The sequence below is a fragment of the Homo sapiens genome, chromosome 17 (assembly GCF_000001405.40).
Source record: "Homo sapiens chromosome 17, GRCh38.p14 Primary Assembly".
In the NCBI taxonomy this organism is placed as follows: Eukaryota; Metazoa; Chordata; class Mammalia; order Primates; family Hominidae; genus Homo; species Homo sapiens.
Window position 1 is genome coordinate 59,149,652 of NC_000017.11, and position 20,030 is coordinate 59,169,681.

At 41.8% G+C, this 20,030-nt stretch overlaps 2 protein-coding genes and 1 non-coding gene across 7 annotated transcripts in view, besides 5 other annotated features; 1 reads left to right on the forward strand and 2 right to left on the reverse strand.

The window, feature by feature from the left end:
* The window catches only part of SKA2 (spindle and kinetochore associated complex subunit 2), a 45,330-nt gene extending 39,795 nt beyond the window's left edge, over positions 1-5,535 (reverse strand). For 2 of the 3 annotated variants that reach the window (NM_182620.4, NM_001330399.2), the window contains exon 1: positions 5,480-5,535. In NM_182620.4, the coding sequence (NP_872426.1) occupies positions 5,480-5,512 (33 nt within the window). In that variant the 5' untranslated portion in view covers positions 5,513-5,535. Of the gene's footprint in view, positions 1-5,304 lie in introns of all 3 variants that reach the window. The other variant, NM_001100595.2, reaches the window with a different exon arrangement.
* Positions 449-528: a silencer, noted in NCBI's record as "silent region_8777". NCBI's record gives its function as "represses an Ori minimal core promoter by ATAC-STARR-seq in GM12878 lymphoblastoid cells {active_cell/tissue: GM12878}" and the evidence as "EXISTENCE:reporter gene assay evidence [ECO:0000049][PMID:35858748]".
* Positions 1,485-1,570, reverse strand: MIR301A (microRNA 301a). The gene has a single exon (NR_029842.1). It is a non-coding gene; the product is annotated as a microRNA 301a (primary transcript).
* Positions 5,323-5,562: an enhancer, noted in NCBI's record as "active region_12501". NCBI's record gives its function as "activates an Ori minimal core promoter by ATAC-STARR-seq in GM12878 lymphoblastoid cells {active_cell/tissue: GM12878}" and the evidence as "EXISTENCE:reporter gene assay evidence [ECO:0000049][PMID:35858748]".
* Positions 6,095-20,030, forward strand: part of PRR11 (proline rich 11) — a 50,964-nt gene continuing 37,028 nt past the window's right edge. Inside the window, exons 1-2 of one of the 3 annotated variants that reach the window (XM_024450828.2) lie at positions 6,095-6,154; positions 13,948-14,013. The gene's annotated coding sequence lies outside the window, so the exon portion shown is untranslated. Of the gene's footprint in view, positions 6,155-11,112; positions 11,226-13,947; positions 14,014-20,030 lie in introns of those variants that run through there. The other 2 variants (XM_047436387.1, NM_018304.4) reach the window with 2 other exon arrangements.
* Positions 6,223-6,272: an enhancer, noted in NCBI's record as "active region_12502". NCBI's record gives its function as "activates an Ori minimal core promoter by ATAC-STARR-seq in GM12878 lymphoblastoid cells {active_cell/tissue: GM12878}" and the evidence as "EXISTENCE:reporter gene assay evidence [ECO:0000049][PMID:35858748]".
* Positions 8,581-9,780: an enhancer, noted in NCBI's record as "CDK7 strongly-dependent group 2 enhancer chr17:57235593-57236792 (GRCh37/hg19 assembly coordinates)". NCBI's record gives its function as "activates an origin of replication core promoter dependent on BRD2, BRD4, P300/CBP, MED14 and CDK7 cofactors, with strong dependence on CDK7, by STARR-seq in HCT116 cells {active_cell/tissue: HCT116}" and the evidence as "EXISTENCE:reporter gene assay evidence [ECO:0000049][PMID:35650434]".
* Positions 16,443-16,742: an enhancer, noted in NCBI's record as "active region_12503". NCBI's record gives its function as "activates an Ori minimal core promoter by ATAC-STARR-seq in GM12878 lymphoblastoid cells {active_cell/tissue: GM12878}" and the evidence as "EXISTENCE:reporter gene assay evidence [ECO:0000049][PMID:35858748]".

Genomic DNA, 20,030 nt, shown 5'->3' on the forward strand with positions numbered 1-20,030 from the left:
GTCTATAAGTTGGTGGATAAAGAGTTTGTGATATTCTATACAATGAATACTACTCAGCAATAAAAACTGTCCAACTGCTAATATACAACATGGATGAATCTCAAAGCATTATGCTAAGTGCAAGAAGCCAGACACAAAAGACTGTATAATGTATGATTCCATTTATATGAAATTCTAGGAAAAGTTAAACTAGAGATCAGTGGTTGCCAGGGACTTGGGGAAGAAGAGGTTGACCACAAAGAGGCACAAAGGAATGTAGGGGTCTCACTCTGTTGCTCAGCCTGGTCTGGAACTACTGGGCTCGAGTGATCTTCCCACCTCAGCCACCCGAGTAGCTAGGTCTACAGGTGCACCACCATGCCTGGCCACAAAGGAGCTTTTTGTAAAGTAACAGAAATGTTCTATATCCTGGCTGTGGTGGTGGTTACATGACTGTATACATTTGTCAAAACTCGTCAGTTCACTGGGCATGCCACACCCCTGTAGTCCAAGCTACTCAGGAGGCTGAAGTGGGAGGATTGCTTGAAGCCAGGAGTTCTAGGCTGTGCTGCATTATGATTGCCTCTGTGAATAGTCGCTGCCCTCCAGCTGGGCAACACAGCAAGACTTCGGCTTTGCTTAACAAATAGCTTACTTACTTTTATTTTATATAATTGTATCTCAATAAAATTCATATTTTTTAAAAGTGATGAATCCACACTATTGTATCTCATAAGAATAAACTGTAAAACAAACACTCTTAGGTTTTAAATTCAACCATTTCCTAGACAATACACAAAATTAACACCAATTAAGATTTGGAGGACTAGGCACAGTGGCTCACACCTATAATCCCAGCACTCTGGGAGGCCAAGGCAAGAGGACTGTTTGAGCCCAGGAGTTCAAGACCAACCTCGGCAACACAGTGAGACCCTGTCTCCACAAAAAATTTCAAGAAAATATTAGCCAGGCATGGTAGGACACGCCTGTGGTCCCAGCTACTTAGGAGGCTGAGGAGGGAGGATTATCTAAGCCCGGGAGTACAAGGCTGCAGTGAGGTGTAACTGGGCCACTGCACTCCAGCCTGGGCAACAGAGAAAGACTCTGTCTCTGGAGAAAAAAAAATGACTTGGGGCAAGTAACTGCAGGAAAAATATACAGCAGAAATTGTTTCCATCACTACCAATTCATCATAAAACTCAAATAAAACCTAAAGTTTGACAGAACCTATCCAAATATGTAACAGAAAGCAACAAATTATAAAGTATTACTCATTTAGACAAACCATAACAACTTAGATATAAAAAATATTCTCCAGACGTGTTTCATAATGCAGTAAAATATTGTTTTTAATTAGTTAAAAGGTTTTTTTTTTTCAAATTATGACTTTCTAAAAGATATACTGTTAGTAACAACATTATAGTTCTCAGCAACAAAGGTTGTGGTAAATTATTTACTGATACCGAAGAAAGATGTAAGGTAAGAATCAAAATTCTGGCGTGCATCCTGCTTTCAGATGCTTTGACAATACTATTGCACTGCTAGCTGTAAAGTACAGTAGTGCAATAAAGTCAGAGCATTCGTTAGCAGTAATAAGTAGGAAAGGAACACAAAAGCATCTTGCATCGGTTGAAGCTTCAGTGAGAAACGAATTTAAAGTAGGGTTGCCATTTTGGACAGAAAAACATCCAAAACCAAAAAACATTTATATCAATGTTTTTTTAAAAAAGGATAAGACTTAAATATCAAAGTGATGTTGCTTATTGATGACTAATATACAAATTAACATTCGAACAGAAACATGCATAGATGTAGAAAGGAATTTTGTAAATATGCCCTAAGCCTTAATAGTAATTAGAATGGGTATTGTTAATACTTTAGGATTGGTATTAACAAAACCAGTTATAATTACTACTAAGGCAAAGTTGTGAAAAATATTTTTGTTCTCTGCAGAGATGTTGGTTAGCTCCTTCTTCAAGGCAATTTACTGATTAAACGCCATGTAAAACAAGCCCTTTGAATAAAAGTATCAAAGAAAACAAATGAAAAGTAAAATAATAAGTTTCTCAATCTCTACATACTCAATCTATCACTCTGGAATCTAAACCACTAAACAAAGAAAACACAAAAGCACTTACCATCTTACAGCTTTTTATCTTGAGTTTACTAAGGGCTGTCATAACAACAGAAGGGAATCAATGTGCTCTAAACAGAACATTAACCCTATCTAACTGAATACTATCCAAGGGGATTTTAAAATTTCAGTTAACTCCTGAAATCTTAAATAGAGGCAGAAAGCATCTCCATTTCCTTCAAACTTAGAAATGTCAAAGAGAAAATAATGATGGGGGGAGGTGGGACTGAGATTTAAGTAACAAGTTTCCTTAGTTCCAAGCTAATTGACATTTTAACTTTTTTAACGGATAAGAACCCAATCAGAAGTCAGATGTAAACCCAGAAACAGAAATAGTATCATAGTATCACACTGCATTACCTTTTGTGTACAGTCACTAGTAGTACCACGAAAGAACAAAGCTAAACAAATACCACCCCATCATTAAGTGAAGGGGAAAAAGTCAGAGAACAAAGATTGCCCTACAATAAGCTTATTCCCCCATTAGTAATGTTGATTGATGCAAAAATATATTTTCATTATTTTCACCAACCTCCCTTTAAACGGTCCAATTCAACTACTTAGTCGGATTGAGCCTACTAAGGAAATGGGCTCATACAAAGGACAGCTGAAATATAAGTGTCTTGGTGTCAAATCCTGGGCCACATAACTAAAATATTAGAATATTTAACGCTGGTAGCCAAGTTTCAGGTTTTAAAGACAACTGTTTAAAAGATAAGTGTTTAACTTTCTGAATTGGAAGTTATTACAAACAAGAAAAATATTTAAAAAATTTAAGGTATTAACAAAATTAGGATAAACACTTTCTTTTCAAATTAAATATTATGCATTTCCTTTTACCTTGACAAATCCTTTATTTAACTGATGTAAAACCAAAAATCAGAAGATAGCACAGGAATCATTTACTCTTAAAATCTTATAAAATAAACTGGTCCACAAGTATAACATTTTTTTCTAGAAGCACATGGTAAATCTGAAGATGAGATGCACTGTCTTTTATTATCTAGTCAACACAAAGCAGTAATAATTAGAGCCATGATAAAAATTCATTTCTAAACCCTAATAATTATGGAAACAAACTAATAACCTGAAAGGAAAAAAAAAAAAGCTACCACTAATTTACTTGCAAGGATGTAAGAAAGGAAAAAAACCTCATTTCTTTTTTTCCTGTCTTCAAAAAGAATTTAAATACTACCCCATCATTCAAACAATACCTAAAAGTTTAAATGTCTGGCTACCTTATAATTTTCTAAAACCTACTTTTTCAAAATGTTTACTTCATCATTGTTCACTTAAAAGAGAATTTGTTCAATCTAAAGAAGTCCTGTGAGAATACTGACTCTACTGTAAAAGCCAGACGAAGTTTAAAAATTAGAAACAGCCAATTTGAGAAGCAAACAACCTGTTAAAAGCAGAATTAGCATCATTTAGCAGAAATGAATTATGAATTTAAGCAGAAATATCTATATCAGTAGGGAGGAATTCAGAATGGGAGAAGGGCAAGATAGTCTTAACATTTAAGCCTGTTGACAGAATCAAATTACAATGCTTAACATTTTGTTTTTTTTAAATGATAATAAAACTTAAAACTAAAAGTTCATTATTACAGGTTTGAAAATCTGCAGGAAATTCTTCCTTCTTCCCTCCCATTTCTCCCTACACTTCTCCAACCCCACACACACTGCACAAAGAAAATTTAAACACAAAATGCTAAAAGTAATTGAAAGCCTTCAAATTAAATTTGTATATGAGAGGCACTCCAATTCATTAGCACAACAGAAGAAAATAAGATATATCAAGGCCTCACTTTTTCTGGGGTGGGAATGGGGGGTGGGTGAGGTTTCTTCCAGGATCACCACCCATCCTTTCCAAGGAAGAAGTTAGAGACCCAAGATTCAGCTTGAAGAAAGCAGGGCAGGCACAAAGGATACCTAAGCAGTAATGCCAGGGAATGGCGTGGGAAGGAGGGACGGATTACAAACGAAGAAAGAAGTCTTTTACTTTTTTAAAACTTAATCTTTTTTTTTTTTGAGACGTTGTCTCTGTCGCAAGGCCGGAGTACAGTGACGCGATCTCGGCTCACTGCAACCTCCGTCTCCCAGGTTGAAGCGATCCTCCTGCCTCAGCCTCCCGAGTAGCTGGGACTACAGGCGCGTGCCATCACACCCGGCTAATTTTTTTATTTTTAGTATAGACGGAGTTTCACCATGTTGGCCAGGGTAGTCTCAATGTCTTGACCTCTTGATCCGCCCGCCTCGGCCTCCCAAAGTGCCGGGATTACAGGCGTGAGCCACCGCGCCCGGCCAATCGTATTTAACAGACAAGCAAACAAACAAAAAAAGACAGGAGCTCAGTGGCAGGCGCTTCCTCCAAAGTCCAGGTTTTTAAGGAAAGCAGCCCAACCTGGGAAAAAAAAAAAAAAAGAAAAGAAAAGAAAAAAAAGATAATGCTGAACGAAAAGGGCTGAAGACAGAACAAGGACACTAAGAGGAAAAAAGCGCGGGCGATCAAGCTGGTAATCTAAGGATGGGAGGGAGGGAATAAAGAGAACAAGTGAGGGACGGATCCTTAAAGAAAACTAGGACAGCCCCCCAGCTGGGCGCCCCCCGAGCAGGCCAAACACGCCAGCAACAACGGGAGTGCTTTCCAATTCTTCGCCCCCGTTTTCTACTTTCACAGATGAATGAAAGTGCACAACTCCAGAGCAGGATGCCTTTCCTGTCTCAATCCCGCCCGCGCTCCGGGAGCGGAGCTCGTGGTTACGATCCCCTTCGCTCACACCTCTTCCCTCACCCACGGTTTGCCACCTCCGGATCAAACAGAAACGGGTTCCTTGGCCGTTAGGAAGTTGTGCATACAAGTCTAGCATCCTTTCTCAGACTTTCTCGGCCCGCCTTTTAGAACGTGAGCGGGTTGGCCCTACAGGGATTTCTCCTCGCCCCCGTCAGTTTATTCCCCACCCCACCCTCCGTTCCCCTTTCTTGGAGTGTGAACCACCTCTCCCTTCTTGGGACGCTTAGGGACCGTTCCATTCACATCTTTTTTGGTACAAACACAGAATGCGGTCTGCACCCGGCGCAGTTTCGTAAGGGGTGTAAAGGTGAGGGCAAGGAACAAGGAATTCCAAAGGCCCCGCACCCTCAGCATCTCCCGCCATTTCCCTGACGAGTTTCCCGGATGTAACCCCTTACCCGAGGCGGTTTAGACACCAGACGGTGGCGGCTCCCTTTGGTGCAGGAGGAGGGAACTCGACTCTGGTCCAGCCTCCGCCGCCCGGAGTTTCCGGCGACTCCAAATTGTGCCCCACCTCCGAGGCCATGGGGGAAAAATAAACTACCCAGTAGATCTCCTTCACTTTGCACTCACCATCAGTTCCAGCTTATCGACCTCCGCCTCCATGTTGAATAGTTGACATTCCGCAGACCGCGGCGGCGCTTAAGCCGCAAGCCGTACTAGCACGGAGGGCCTCCATTGGACAGCTGTCACTCAACATCTCGCACTCATTGGCTCCTCCGTTCCACCGGCTCCCGCCCATTGGAGACTGGGTAACGCCCCTCTGCATGAGACACATTTTCCTGTTGGGCAAAGGCACAAAACGCCGCAGGAGGATTGGCTGCTGTGCAAATTTTTTTTTCCATTGGCTGCCCCCTCCTCTCTACTTTCAATTTTGTAGTTAGGGCTCTGCAGAGAAGAGCTTGAGATTGGTGCAATTGGAAGAAGAGCCAACCAATCACACCAGAGCTTCCACCGACAGCAGAGGGGACGTAACACACCTTCTTTCCCCTCCGGCTTTCCTTCCCCTTCTCTCCCGCCTTCTCCTTATTCATACCAGAAGCGCCTCAGCTCTGATTGGCTGGAGCTCTGTGCTATCTCAGCCAATCACAAGCCGGGCTGTGCTCCTACACCATCCGAAGAGCGAATCGTGCAGAGACCGTGTCTACGATTGGCCTCTCCCTGACAAGGATTTAATTTTGAATTTTTCTTTATGGCGTGGGAGAGGCCACAGCCCGGACTCCATCGACTCCCCCGGCTCTTAGACTAGTAAGTGCAGGAACGATTATTTCTTTGTTATCTGAGCTCGCGTCTTGAGTAGCTGGGCCTGTTGCTGCTTGTGTTTTTATGGTTTAGGGAGGTGGGGACTTTGGCTGGACACGAAGGGGAAATGGAAAGGAGGAAGGGGAGGTTTGGGGCTGGGGAAGAAGTGCTCGGCCTGGCTTCATCTTAACCATACTTCTATTTAATTAACACTTCGCAAGATACGTTTTGGAGCAAAGCATCTGCCTTCCTTTTGAACATTTCTTTACATATTTGCTGCTCAATGCAAGTCCACAGATCAGCGGCATCCGCATCTCTTGTTTGCTTGTTACAAATGCAAATTATCGGACTCCACCCAAATTTACTAAATCAGAATATACATTTTAACAAGATTTCCCTGAGTGATTTCTATGCACATTAAAGTTTAAGTTGGTACATTTCTTGACTGGGAATATTACTATGTTACTCGATATTGTCTGGCATGCTGTTAGAGTGTCAATTTTAAATGCGTGTCCTGTTTACTGAGTGCCTAATACTGTGCGGGATGAGACTTTAGGGAGCTGCAGTCTCTTTGGAAAAACAAGACAGAACAAAAACAGCAATGCTTAAAAAAAAAAAAGCATAAAACATAAAATTTAAAAAAAGCAAGTACCCAGAAATAGTGCTATGGGTGTTCAAGAAGAATCAATTGGACTGCTAATGGAAATTAAGTAATTGAAGGCTATTTGTGGAGGAGCGCAAGAGACTTCCATAAAAATGTGTTTTAGGAAGATGGCAATGAAATGCAACAGTCATTTCCGTTGCTGCTACAGCTTTGAAAGTACCCCAGAACAAAGAACTTTTCTTCTCTTTCTTTCTTTTTTTTTTTTTTCTTTTTTTGTGACGGAGTCTCGCTCTGTCGCCTAGGCTGGAGTACAGTGGCACAATCTCGGCCCACTACAACCTCAGCCTCCTGAGTAGCTGGGAGTACAGGCGCACGCCAGCACGCCCGGCTAATTTTTGTATTTTTAGTAGAGACGGGGTTTCACCCTCTTGGCCAGGATGGTCTCGATTTCCTGACCTCGTGATCCACCAGCCTCAGCCTCCCAAAGTGCTGGGATTACAGGCGTGAGCCACCACGCTCGGCCGCAAAGAACTTTTCATATCATTGGGTGGAGTTTTCACAGAAGCAGCAGCGCCAACTCCTGCAAAAGACTGTAATTCTTACTGTATTATTTATTGCATCTTCCTATTGGAAAATAGCTTTAGACCCATCTTTTAGCCATATGAAGATGTGGTATGATATGAAGAAGTAAAAACCTCCCTAACCAAGAGAATTTGACAATATTAGAATATATTCCTTAACTAAAATAACACTTGCTAGCTAACACTTAGCAGGAATGCTTCTTTTCATTCTTTATTGAATGAAACATTATTTAGCTCCTGCTGTATTCTAGATGCTGGGAAAACAAAGATGAATGAAATTTGTCACACCCTTGAAAAGCTCACAGTCCAGCAGGATGACAAACATACAAGCAAAAATTACAATGAAATGTAATACATTTTATAATAAAGATGTGTATAAAGTGCTATAGAAGTGCAAAAGAGATGACATTTCAGCCAGTATAAATTCTGTAAGGAGGCTGGGCATGGTGCCTCACACCTGTAATCCCAGCACTCTGGGAGGATGAAGCGGGCGGATCACTTGAGGTAAGGAGTTCAAGACCAGCCTGGCCAACATGGCAAAATCCCATCTCTACTAAAAATACAAAAATTATCCGGGTGTGGTGGCACGCCCCTATAATCCCAGGTGCTCAAGAGGCTGAAGCAGGATAATCGCTTGAACCCAGGAGGTGGAGGTGGCATTGAGCTGAGATCACACCACTGCACTCCAGCCCGGGTGACAGAGCGAGACTCTGTCCACCCCCCCAAAAAAAAAAAAATTCTAGAAGGACAAAGACTATGTTGGTGTTGTTCAGGATTGTATGCCAGCACCTAGCATAGTACTTGGTGGATTATAAGCACTCAACTAATATCTATAAGATAAAATAACAGAATCTTGAAGGCTAGGTATAAGTTGACTTGGAAGAGGATACTCTAAACAGAAGGAAAGGCTGATAGAAAGAAACAGAAAGTATTTGGTGTTTAGTATACCTGGAAGTACAAACCGCTAGTCACTAGAAGAGACTATGGCAAAGGGCCATTAGAGCTAAGTTGTGAAAAGTTTTGAAAGGCATGCTAAGGAATTTAATTTTGTGAGTAAAGGAACCTTCAAATACTTTTAAGCAAGGGAATATCTAGATCTCATTTTGTTTTAAAGTATCAGTTCTGGTATGGAAAATGAACTGGCAAGGAGAAAGACTGAAGGCAGGAGAATCATTGAAGGAACACTCAGCAAACCCAAACTAAGAAACATTCTCCAAAACGACTGACTTGGACTCTTCAAAATTATAAATATGAAGAAGCAAATACATAAATAAAAAAGCTGGAGAATTGTTATGAATTAAAGGGTACTAAAGAGACACTACTGCTAAATGCATGTGGAACCAGGGTGGGAGAAGCTATAAGGGATATTGAGACAATTGGGGCAATCCGAATATGGGCTGTTTATTAGATCATTTCATAACAAGGTTAAATTTCCTGACTGATTGTGGTTTTGTTGGAAAATTTCCATGTTTATGTTAGAAAACAAAAGCTAAAGTATCTAAGAGTAAAGTATCATGATGTCTGCAACTAAATCTATTCAATCCAAAACTAAAAAAATTTATGTATGTATATATTTGTACATACGTACAGAAAGAGTGTGTGTACAAAGACGGCAATTGACAATTGGTAAATCTAGGTGAACTGTATATGAGTGCTTATTATACTATTGTAAATTTTTTATTTCCTGGAGCCTTGAAATTTTTCTAAGTAAAAACAGTAAAGGAAAATAGACAATAGTGAAAGACAAAAATGAAAAAAGTGAAGGCAACTGAAGTTAGAGGACAGAACGGAGGGGGATGGTAAGGAGAAGAGACAGGGTAAATTAATCAGAGAAATATTTCTGATTCATACTCACATTGGCCCACACCCAGGTGTGGTGTGCACCCAGTGCAGTGGCGTGATCTTGGCTCACTGCAACCTCCACCTCCTAGATTCAAGTGATTCTAATGCCTCAGCCTCCCGCGTAGCTGGGATTACAGCACACTCCACCACACCTGGCTAATTTTTCTATTTTCAGTAGAGACAGGGTTTCACCCTGTTGGTCAGGCTGGTCTCGAACTCCTGACCTCAGGTGATCCACCCACCTCAGTCTCCCAAAGTGCTGGGATTACAGGTGTGAGCCACCGCACCCAGCCTCCCACACCCTCTTTTTTTATAACCCTCTACTCCAATAGGAGCTCCATTGTCTCTGCATTCTTTTCACCTTCCTGGCCATGCCTTTTCTAGTTCTTTCTCTACCCACTCCTTATACATGGTGTTTCTCAAAGTTTGGTAATCAGCTCATAGATCTTTTCACTCCACATATTTCTCTGGGTAATTTCACTCATTTCTAGTGTTGTTATTTTCTCAAGCTACCTATACACTTATGAGTGCAGTATTTCTCTAGTGTCTTTCCCCTGAACTTCTGACTTTGAACATAGAACATAAGCAGTTAGATGTATTTAGATACCCTACTGTCGCTCCTATAATCAGGTCCTCATCCCCTAGACAGTTGCAGTAGGTTTGTAAGTGGTCTCTTTGTCTTCAGTCATGGTCCCATAAATCCAATTTCCACGATGCTGCCAAACCATTCTTTCTAAAGAAGAAATACGAGCATGACAATTATCTGCTTAAAATCCATTATTGTTTCTGATGTCTTGGTCCTTATCCACCCTCCAGCTTCATCACTCATTGCCCCCTGACAAAACTTTACGTTGCAGGATATGCTTTAGTCACACTGAGTCTTGTCTGAATCCCCTGACATACCTTTCTCTGAAATGTTTCCATGTTATTCCCTCTGATGGGATGAGTCCTCCCTAGGCCCACCTTAACCTAGCCCCTTCATCAAAGCTCAGCTTAGGCAAAACCTTTTCCAAAAACCTCAACCCTTATGGGAGAATTATGTACCCTTGCTTTATTTCTCCATTAATATCATATACATATCCCATCATAACCCATACACTATTGTATACCTGTTTACTTTCTGCTTACCCATCTCTCCCCACTGTAAACTCTTGGAGGGCAGGAATGTGTCTTATTCATTTTCATAGCAAGTTATCACTATATGTTGTTGAATTAAACTTGTATTTTAAAAAATCTGATATAGTAATCTCAAGCAGCAAAAAAAAAAGAATCAAAGAATAATAATGATAATAATGATAAAACTTATTGCCTGCCAGGCACTGTAAATACTTTACATGATTTACTCATGTACTCCTCAAAACTCTGAAGTAAGTTCCTATTAATATTATTATTTCACAGGGGAGGAAACTGACACAGAAAGGCTAAGAATCTCTTGAAGGTCATAAATAAGTTATGACAGTATAGTAGAGCCATGATTTGAACCTATGCAGTATAACTCCCTGGTCCTCATCCTTAACCCCTACAGTATACTTCCTCTTGTTGTTTGTTTGTTTGGTTGGTTGGTTTCGGTTTTGGTTTGGGGGTTTTTTCTTAGACTGAACCTCATTCCAATTTTTATATTTTTAGTAGAAATGGGGTTTCACTGTGTTTGCCAGTCTGGTCTCGAACTTGACCTCAAGTGATCCATCCACCCACCTTGGCCTCCCAAAGTGCTGGAATTACAGGCGTGAGCCACCATGCACGGCCTATAATATGACCTTTATTATTGTTTGATTTGTTATCAAGAGCTCCAGATGTACCAGTTTGCTGGTTCCTTAGCCTAGAAATCTTTTCTTAATGAAAAGAAGATGTAAGTAAAAATGAGAGTAATTTCTAGAGATCATAGAGTTATTTAGGATATTTATGTTGTTTTTTTCTTTTTTTTGGAAACAGTTTCTCGCTCTGTGTTCCAGGCTGGAGTACAGTGGCGCAGTCATGGGTCACTGCAGCCTCAAGCTCCTGTGCTCACGTGAGCCTCCCGCCTCACCCTTCAGAGTGGCTAGGACTATAGGTGAGCCACCACGCCAGGATTTTTTTTTTTTCTTTTTTTCATACAGTTGGGACTCTCACTGTGTTGCCCAGAGTGGTCTCAAACTCCTGGGCTAAAGGCATCCTCCCACCTCCACCTCAGCCTCCCAAAGTGCTGGGGATTACAGCACTTTGAACCACCGCCCTTTGCCTATATGTTTATGTTTCTAATGATTTTTCAGATTATTTGAGAAAGCAGTGTAAGAAAAAAACTAGTTTAAAAAATACATAGGCCAGGCATGGTGGCTCATGCCTATAATCCTAGTACTTTGGGAGGCCGAGGGAGGCGGATAACCTGAGGTCAGCAGTTCAAGACCAGCCAGGCCAACATGGCGAAACCCCATCTCTACTAAAAATACAAAAATTAGCTGGGCGTGGTAGTGTGTGCCTGTAGTCCCAGCTACTCGGGAGACTGAGGCAGGAGAATCGCTTGAACTCGGGAGGCAGAGGTTGCAGTGAACCGAGATCATGCCACTGCACTCCAGCCTGGCCAGGCAACAGAGCGAGACTCCGTCTCAAAAAAAAAAAAACAAAAACATAAAACAAAAAAAAAAACACACACACAAAACATAAGGGCCGAGTACAGTGGCTCACACCTGTAATTTCACCACTCTGGGAGGCCAAGGCCAGTAAATTGCTTGAGCTCAGGAGTTTGAGACCACCTAGGCAACATGGTGAAACCCTGTCTCAACTAAAAATAAAAAAACCAGCTGGGCATGGTGGTACGCCCTTGTAGTTCCAACTACTCAGGAGGCTGAGGCAGGAGGATTGCTTGAGTCCAGGAGGTCAAAGCTGCAGAGAGCTGAGATCACACCACTGCAATCCAGCGTGGGCAACAGAGCAAGAACCTGTCTCAAAACAAAAGGAAAAATGCTTTAAGGAATCACAAAAGAATGAGCTTCTATTCAGTGTTAACAATTAAAATCCCACCTAATCCAGCAAAAAGAATTTGTAGGTCTCATTATGCTTTTGGAAAGGGGATAAGTATACGTATTTTAAGCTAAAGGAAGACTGCTATATACTCTTTCAATTTGGGCAATTATCCTCTGGAAAGTACCTAATGCTTTTAATTAAGTAATGATACTAAAACAAACCTTAATTTTTTGTGTTCTTGTTTTGACTGAGGTAGAAATTTGCTATTCTCCACTTTCGCAAGAGCTGTGATTATTTTTGGATGGAACAACTAACTATCTAGGAATTATCTCAGACTGCATCTTTCTACCCTGACAGATTTTGCATGGTTCCTTAATCCTCTGCATGTGCCAATTACTGTATTTAATTAGAAGGAGATTAGATAGAAGCACTAATAACCCAAGTCAGACACACACACACACACACACACACACACACACACACAGAGAGAGAGAGAGAGAGAGAAAGAAATATGACTTAGTTCCTAGACATCTTTATCATTGAAAAATAATTCCCAAAATGACAGACATTGGCTTGTGTAGGACTCTAGAAATTTGTATGCATAGACACTGGAACAGCCAACAGGAAAGGACTAGAAAGAAATGGCCCTGTTTCAGAATGGTGGTACTCAAATTTTCCAGCTAATGGTACATACCAAAGTTTGAAAGTCAAATACAATACAAGCCTTATTAGAATTAGAAAGAAATAACAAAAAAAAATAGCAGTCCAGTTTAAACCACCCCTCTGTAATCCTGACTCCCAATTGTCAGAGGCAACACTATTAAGTCTTGTAATTATTTCTTCTGGTATTTACCTCCATATTTCTAAGTAACATTCATACTATTATTTCATGATTTTTTTTTCAAGTGTAGGCACTATATAAATTTAGACAAATACTGACTTCCATTCACTTTCTCTCCCTTTTTTTTTTTTTTTTTTTGAGACAGAGTTTCACTCTTGTTGCCCAGGCTGGAGTGCAATGGCACGATCTCGGCTCACCGCAACCTCCACCTCCTGGGTTCAAACGATTCTTCTGCCTCAGCCTCCAAGTAGCTGGGATTACTGGCATGCACCACCACGCCCGGCTAATTTTTGTATTTTTTTAGTAGAGATGGCATTTCTCCATGTTGGTCAGGCTGGTCTTGAACTCCCGACCTCAGGTGATCTGCCTGCCTCAGCCTCTCAAAGTGCTGGGTTACAGGCATGAGCCACCACACCTGGCCCACTTTCTCTCCTTCTTCCTAGTATACCTACATCATCATTTTTGGTTAAATAAATTGTCAATGCTTATACTTTTTTTTTTTAGATGGACTCTCGTTCTATTGCCCAGGCTGGAGTGCAGTGGCACAATCTCGGCTCACTGCAACCTCTGCCTCCCGGGTTCAAGAGATTCTCCTGCCTCAGCCTCCCAGATAGCTGGGACTACAGCCACATGCCTGGCTAAATTTTGTATTTTTGGTAGAGACAGGCTTTTGCCCTGTTGGCCAGGCTGGTCTCAAACTCGGGACCTCAGGTGATCCTCCTGCCTCCCGGCCTCCCAAAGTGCTGGGATTATAGGCATGAGCCACCATGCCCAGCCAATGCTTATACTTTAAATATTGTTTAACAGCTTAACATTTAGTGCTACTAAGATTACATTTCCTTTCTTATACAACTTTTTTCCTAGCTATTTTTTATATGCTTATTTTTTTAAGCACTTACCAGCAATTTGGCCACAAGTTTACAGAACAGTAAAACTCTGCTCAGAATGGTCAAACACACTAGGCAGTTTATCTATTTCCGTTTTTCCTTAGAGACATTGTTGCTGAAGCCCTCTGTCCTGTCCTTCTGCGGCAGTCTTCACTGGCTGTGAGCCTCAGGTCAGCAAACTACTGCTTTTATAGAGCTTGTGAGCTAAGAATGATTTATAACTTCTAACAGTTAAAAAAAAATCAAAAGAGGAACAATATTTTGTGACACATGAAAAGTATATCAAATTTGGCCGGGCGCAGTGGCTCATGCCTGTAATCCCAGCACTTTGGGAGGCCAAGGCTGATGGATCTCGACGTCAGGAGTTCAAGACCAGCCTGGCCAAGATGGGGAAACCCCGTCTCTACTAAAAATACAAAACTTAGCCTGGCGCCGTGGCAGGCGCCTGTAATCCCAACTACTCAGGAGGCTGAGGCAGGAGAATCACTTGAACTTGGGGGGTGGGCGGAGGTTGCAGTGAGCTGAGATCATGCCACTGCACTCCAGCCTGGGCGACAGAGTGAGACTCCATCTTAAAAAAAAGAAAAACATAAAAGTATATGAAATTCAAATTTCAGTCATAAATAAAATTTTATTAGACACAGCTCCTTTGCTTGAGTATTGTCTATGACTGCCTTGGTGCTACCCTGGCAGGGTTGAGCAGTTGCAGCAGAGACCATATGGCCTGCAAAACCTGAAATATTTACTTTCTGGTTCTTTACAAAAAAGGTTTGTTGACCCCTGTCCTAAGCTTGCTCAAAGCTGTTTCCCCTAGATTTTTTTATCACCATTATCCTGAAAATTCTTATCTTTTATCTTAATTCTTTCCTCACACCTGACTGAAAGTTTGGCCTAATATAGAATTCTATGATGGGGCCGGGCGTAGTGGCTCATTTCTGTAATCCCAGCACTTTGGGAGGCTGAGGTAGGAGGACTGCTTGAGCACAGGAGTTTAAGACCAGCCTGGGCAACAGAAAAAGAATGGGGGAGGACTGTGAAGGATCAGATGGAAGACAAAGAAAAGGAAGATGCTAGGAAATTTCGGATTCTAGGGCTCCCAATCAGTGGACTCAGCCTTAGATAGAAGTTTCCAGTGGCATTTGTCTATAGAAGGTCCTGGCCGTACAGGACTTCAAGACCAGCCTGGCCAACATGGTGAAACCCCATCTCTACTAAAAATAAATAAATTTTAAAAATTAGCCGGGCATGGTGGCGCGCGCCTGTAATCCCAGCTACTCCGGAAGCGGAGGCAGGAGAATCGCTTCAACCTGGGAGGAGGAGGCTGCAGTGAGCCAAGATCATGCCACTGCATTCCAGCCTGCACGACAGAGCAAGACCGTGTCTCAAAAAAAAAAAAAGGTCCTGACCATAGATTTGATGAAATGTAACCTTTTTTCTTCAGGCAGCCACAAGATCGCTCCTTCCTAGGAGGCTCTCCTAAATATCTTCATCAGAGTATTTTTATCTTGCGTTTTTGTTTTGTTTTTTTGTTTTGTTTTGTTTTTGAGACAGAGTCTCGCTCCGTCGCCCACGCTAGAGTGCAGTGGCTCAGTCTCGGCTCACTGCAAGCTCCGCCTCCCAGGTTCACACCATTCTCCTGCCTCAGCCTCCCGAGTAGCTGGGACTACAGGCGCCCACCACTGCGCCCGGCTAATTTTTTGTATTTTTAGTAGAGACGGGGTTTCACCATGTTAGCCAGGATGGTCTCGATCTCCTGACCTCATGATCTGCCCGCCTTGGCCTCCCAAAGTGCTGGGATTACAGGCGTGAGCCACCGCGCGTCCGGTCTGGTTTTGTTTGTTTATGTGTTTGTTTGTTTTGGAAACAAGGTCCCCCTCTGTTGCCCAGGCTGGAGTGCAGTGGCACAATAATAGTTCATTGCAGCCTCAAACTCCTAGGCTCATGTGATCCTCCCAGCTCAGCCTCCTGAATAGCTCGGACTACAGGCTTGTGTTGTTTTAAATTAAAAAAAATCAGGGCTGGGTGCAGTGGCTGACGCCTGTAATCCCAGCACTTTGGGAGGCCAAGGCAGGCAGATCACTTGAGGTCGGGAGTTCCAGACCAGCCTGACCAGCATGGAGAAACCCCGTCTCTACTAAAAATACAAAATTAGCCGGGCGTGGTGGTGCATGCCTGTAATCCCAGCTACTCAGGAGGCTGAGGCAGGAGAATCGCTTGAACCTGGGAGGCAGAGGTTGCGGTGAGCCGAGATCGTGCCATTGCACTCCAGCCTGGGCAACAAGAGCAAAACTCTGTCTCAAAAAAAAAACAAAAACAAACAAAACAAAAAAATCCTTTAGACATCCCTTGTGTTTAATAATCCCTGCTTCACCTTCCTTCATTATTTCAGCAGGAAGAAAAAGTGATATAATAAAGGTGAAGTCAGCCAACTATGTTTTGGTGTGTTTTCTAAGCCCGTAAGGACAATTAAGAAAAGCACCTTGTCAAATTGGGACCTGATAGTTAGTCCAATTAGATGTTATCAGGAATCTATTTCTAGAAGGGCTGTCAATATATGCACTGCCACTATTTGCCATTAGGGGTGCCCTCTGCAAATCATGGAACCAAGCCAGCGCTCAGTTTTTACAACCTGCAACAGGGTAGTGGGGGTTCATCAGCCAGTGGAATCTGAGAGCTGAGCAAGTATAGTGCTGCATACCAAGTGCTGAAAGGTTACTGAGTGAACAAAAGTGGAATGAATGTGTATTTTAAAGGCCAATTGTTCCCATTCAAATCTGAGTTTGAAGGGAAGGAGGCCCAGGCCTTGAGATCATTTTCAGTTCTGCTACTTGAATAACAACATCTTTGTTCCTCAAGTAGCAACAACTAAAAGCAGCAAAGCCCTTCTGGAACTTCAGCTCAAACTAGCTGTGACTTAATTTTCTTCAGAAAAGGATCCAGATTGAAATGTGAATATACTAGATAATGTTTTTGTTTTGTTTTTTCATTTTGTACCACAGCAAGAAGGACCCTTTTATTAAAAGTTTCCAAAATGTTCACTTGGTCACAACCAAGATAATGTTAACATATATTTAATGGTAATATATTTAATGTTAAATTGATCATTATGATATATACTTATATAGATATATGTTAGTGTATAGCATATTAGTGTGTATAGCATCTTAGAAAGAACAGATATATTTATATAAAAATATTTGTTACATTCTTAAGTACAAAGCAGCTTTTATTCTCTTGATAATTCTTGATTATATCCCGACATTTGTATAAAAAATTCACTTTATTTAGACAGATCCTAATTTGCTGTTAGTGTATCAAGTGGCATTGCCACTTTTTATTTTTTTATTTTTTAAATTTTATTTTGATTATTTTAAAATTGACCTATAGGACCGGGCGCGGTGGCTTATGCCTGTAATCCCAGCACTTTGGGAGGCCGAGGCAGGCAGATCACGAGGTCAGGAGATCGAGACGATCCTGGCTAACATGGTGAAACCCCGTCCCCACTAAAAATACAAAAAATTAGCCAGGCGTGGATGGCGGGCACCTGTAGTACCAGCTACTCGAGAGGCTGAGGCAGGAGAATGGCGTGAATCCAGGAGGCGGAGCTTGCAGTGAGCCAAGATCGCGCCACTGCACTCCAGCTTGGATGACGGAGCAAGACTCTGTCTCTAAATAAATAAATAAATTGACCAATAATAATTATACATATTTGTGGGGTACACAGTGATGTTTTGATACATATAATGTATAGTGAATAGGTCAGGGTAGTTAGTATATCCATCATCTTCAACATGTCATTTATTTGTGTTAGTAAAATTCAATGCACTCCTTCTAGCTATTTGAAACTAGATAATATATTATTGTTAACTATAGTCATCCTACAGTGCCATAGAACACTAGAACTTATTCCTGCTATCTAGCTGTAATTATATTACTGGAAAGGGGTCCCAATCCAGACCCCAAAAGAGGATTCTTGTACCTTGTGCAAGCAAAAATTCAGGACAAGTCCATAAAGGGCAAGCATGTCTATTAAGAAAGTAAAGGAATAAAAAAATGGCTATTCCATAGGCAGAGCAGTGGCATGGGCTGCTCAACTGAGTATACTTATATCTTGATTATATGCTAAACAAGGGGTGGATTATTCATGAGTTTTCTGGGGAAAGGGTGGGGATTTCCCAGAACTGAGGGTTCCTTCCCTTTTTAGACTATATAGGGTAACTTCCAGACATTACCATGGCATTTGTAAACTGTCTTGGTGCTGGTGGGAGTGTCTTTTAGCATGCAAATGCATTATAACTAGTGTATAATGAGCAGTAAGGACAATCAGAGGCCACTTTCATTGCTCTCTTGGTTTTGGCCACGTTCTTTACTGCATCCTGTTTTATCAGAAGGGTCTTTGAGGCCTGTATCTTGTGCCAACCTCCTATCTCATCCTGTGACTAAGAATGTCTAACGTCCTGGGAATGCAGCACAGTAGGTCTTAGCCTCATTTTACCCAGCTCCTATTCAAGATTGAGTTGCTGTGGTTCAAATGTCTCTATTTTGTATCCTTTAACCAATCTTTCCCTATTCCTCCTTCCTCCCCACCTTTCCCAGTATCCTGGGAAAGATACTATCCCTCTAGTATCCTCTGTTCTACTAGGTAATGTTTTTATTTTATTTTATTTTATTTTATTTTATATATTTATTTATCAGATGGAGTCTTGCTTTGTCACCCAGGCTGGAGTGCAGTGGCGTGATCTCGGCTCACTGCAACCTCTGCCTCCTGGGTTCAAGTGATTCTCCCACCTCAGCCTCCCCAGTAGCTGGGACCACAGGCACCGTGCCACCATGCCCAGCTAATTTTTGTATTTTTAATAGAGACAGGGTTTTGCCATGTTGGCCAGGCTGGTCTCAAACTCCTGGCCTCGAGTGATCTGCCCACCTCGGCCTCCCAAAGTGCTGGGATTACAGACGTGAGCCACCACACCCAGCCGGTGATGTTTTTAAATGCTTTAAAATAACTCTTTTAAGGCCCATGCCTGTAATCCCAGCACTTTGGGATTACGCCACCAGTGTGGTGGCGTGTGCCTGTGGTCCCAGCTACTTGGGAGGCTGAGGCAGGAGAATCATTTGAACCTGGGAGGTGGAGGTTGCAGTGAGCCAAGATCATGCCACTGCACTGCAGCCTGGGTGACGGAGCTAGACTGTGCCTCAAAAAATAAAATAACATAACTGTTTTAAAACACTCATGTCTTAGATTTGGGGTAATTGTTATTTCATTTTACAGTGTATTGCCTATTTAATCTAGTGTCACACCACAGCGTATTAGAAAGAACATGGAAGACTTACAGGTTTGGACTTACTGCATTGCATTGACAGATTGTCTAATCTTTTTTATCCTCAGTTTATTCTTCTGTAAAAACGGGAATAAAAATCCTCCTTGTCAGGGATAATACCTTGCAGGATAGTAAGGGTTAACTGAAAAGATGTATGTGAAGATACCTAACAGTAAAGGGGTATTGAATAAATGGTTAATGTTGTTTCCTTATCTTCTCACTACCAATTCCACCTGTCACAGTGGATGCTCAGTAGATGCTGCTGGTAAAGAAACATATTCTTTTTTTTTTTTTTTTTTTTTGAGGCGGAGTTTTCGCTCTTGTTGCCCAGGTGGGAGTGCAATGGTGCAATCTCAGCTCGCCACAACCTCCGCCTCCCGAGTTCAAGCGATTCTCCTACCTCAGCCTCCCCAATAGCTGGGATTACAGACATGCACCACCATGCCTGGCTGATTTTGTATTTTTAGTAGAGACGGGGTTTCTCCACGTTGGTCAGGCTGGTCTCGAACTCCTGACCTCAGGTGATTCACCCGCCTCGGCCTCCCAAAGTGCTGAGATTACAGGCATGAGCCACCACACCTGGCCAACATATTATTTTAATAACTGACTATAACCCACCTACAGCCATTTTCGCTACTATAAAGAAAGGAAAATTCATTTAACTTAATGAAGAAAAGCAACACAAGCAAAACAAACTGAGAGAGTAATATAATGCCAAGACCAAGATCTCTCCAGAGATAGTTTAAATCTGTGTTTACATTTTCCCCTACTTCAGGGCTCTTCTGGGATGCTGGTAGTGACCTATTTCTTAACCAAGATGGTGGTTTCAAGGGTGTGTTCATGGTATAATTCATTAACTATACACTTAA